General features: G+C 37.5%; 1 annotated feature.

Moving 5' to 3' along the window:
• Nucleotides 318-387: a silencer, noted in NCBI's record as "silent region_14622". NCBI's record gives its function as "represses an Ori minimal core promoter by ATAC-STARR-seq in GM12878 lymphoblastoid cells {active_cell/tissue: GM12878}" and the evidence as "EXISTENCE:reporter gene assay evidence [ECO:0000049][PMID:35858748]".

Raw genomic sequence — 1,997 nt, 5'->3', positions numbered from 1 at the left:
GACCAGTGCAAAAGTCCTAATGTGAGAATGAGTTTGGGAGGTTCAGGAAACAGCGATATATTTATTGTGTCTGAAGTACAGACAGCAAGTGGAGAATAATGTATTTGTACCAGGATTTGATGCACAAAATAAAAGTAGTGCATTTTACCTCTGTCATTTAAAAAGTTATTTCCTGTAGTACTGAAAGAGGAAGAGAAGCTCAAATATGATTTGAGTTTGAGAATTTATTCCAGCACATTGTTTCATTTGACTTCCTGGGTGTGCTGGGTCCTCATTAGGCCACTGACACTAAGCAGTGGTCAGCAGCCCATAGCAGGCAAACATGTGAACATACTCTGGCTTTGCAAACAAGAAGTATTCAGACAGAAGACTGAGTTTTGCATGTATTTCGTGCTTTTTCTTTCAGAGTAAATGAAATAATGAAGGCCAATGAAGAGGGTTTTAAGAATGAGAAAGTGGACTCTGAGGACATTAGTATGTCTCTGAAGACGTAAATATGTTCTAACACAGGCTTAGTCGTCATAAAATGTTGTAAGAGGTGAAAATAAATGCATTTCACAACATCAGAAAAGGAGATGGAGTTAAGATTCATAAATATAATTAAATGCTAACTTAAAAATTAGGACAACAAAGAAAAATCAAATGTGGAATTTTAGTAGTCAGTTAAGGCTTCAATTATGAAAATTTTAAAACATACATAATACTATTAAAAATGGTGTAATGAACTTTTACGTACCCATCACCAACTTTGACAATTGTCAAAGTTTTTCCTATGTTTTTTCACCTAACCCTCACTCCTCCAATTTCTTTGGAATATTGTAAAGCAAATCCCAGTTATCACATTATTTCACCCATAAATACTTTAGTATAGGTCATTAACAGATAGGGCATACTTTAAAAAATATTACTACAAAGTCATTTTAACATATTACAAAATTAGACATTTTTTCATATCATTTAATACCCACACTTCATTCAAATTCCCTAATTATTTTAGGTCTGACTTTTTGTAGTTGATTTGTTCAGATCAGGATCTGAAAAACCAACCAACATTGAATTTGGTTGTAATCTCTCTTTAGTCTCATTATATTATGGCCTTCCTCCTCTAACCTTTATATTTGTTGTGAAATTGGGCCATTTGTCTTGTGAAACATCCCATATTCTGGATTTGTCTGATTGTTTCTTTTTGCTGTTGTTTAAATTGTTCCTTTAGTCGACAGATTTCTCCTAGTTGGAGCTTGATTAGATTCAGAATCAATATTTTTTTCAAGAATATTTTATAGCCAATAGTTGTTACATCTACAACACATGTTCGAAGACAGGCACCAAATATCTGCTCATCCGACTTTTACTGATGCTAAGATTGATGGATGGATTCAGGCGCTGTCAGCCTGGCCTCATCTGTTACAAACTTTCCCATTAACATTCTACCTAGTAATCACTGAATGTTCTCACTCATAAGTGGGAGCTGAACATTGAGAACACATGGACACAGAGCGGGGAACAGCACATACCAGGGCCTGTTGCGGGGTCGGGGTGAGAGGAGGGAACTTAGAGGATGGGTCAATAGGTGCAGCAAACCACCATGGCACACGTCTACCTACATAACAAACTGGCACATTCTGCACGTGTATCCTATTTTTTATTTAGAAGAAAAAAATACTGCACAGCGGAGCACAGCACTGGGATCAGAGAGCAGGCTCATCCTCAATCTTGTGCAAAAAATAACATTTGATGATTCCCAAGGGGTGGGTGAAGCAAGTAGCTTTTGGGGTTCTGGAAGTCTCTAGAACTGTTTCCCAAATGTTTTGGGCTTGGCCTTGCAGTACACACTTTGTCCTGGTCTGTTTTTCCTTTAATTTGTAGGCCCAAGTGTATTTTAAGGTAAATGGATCCCACGTGCCTCCAATGCATTTACGTTGAACTCATCAGCCCATGTTTTGAAGGAGCAATCTGAGTTCCAAGAAGCCTTTGGAGGCTGCCTTTATGAGCCTCTC

Source organism: Homo sapiens, chromosome 3, assembly GCF_000001405.40.
Source record: "Homo sapiens chromosome 3, GRCh38.p14 Primary Assembly".
NCBI classification, from domain to species: domain Eukaryota; kingdom Metazoa; phylum Chordata; class Mammalia; order Primates; family Hominidae; genus Homo; species Homo sapiens.
This window is presented reverse-complemented; position numbering and strand designations above follow the sequence as displayed.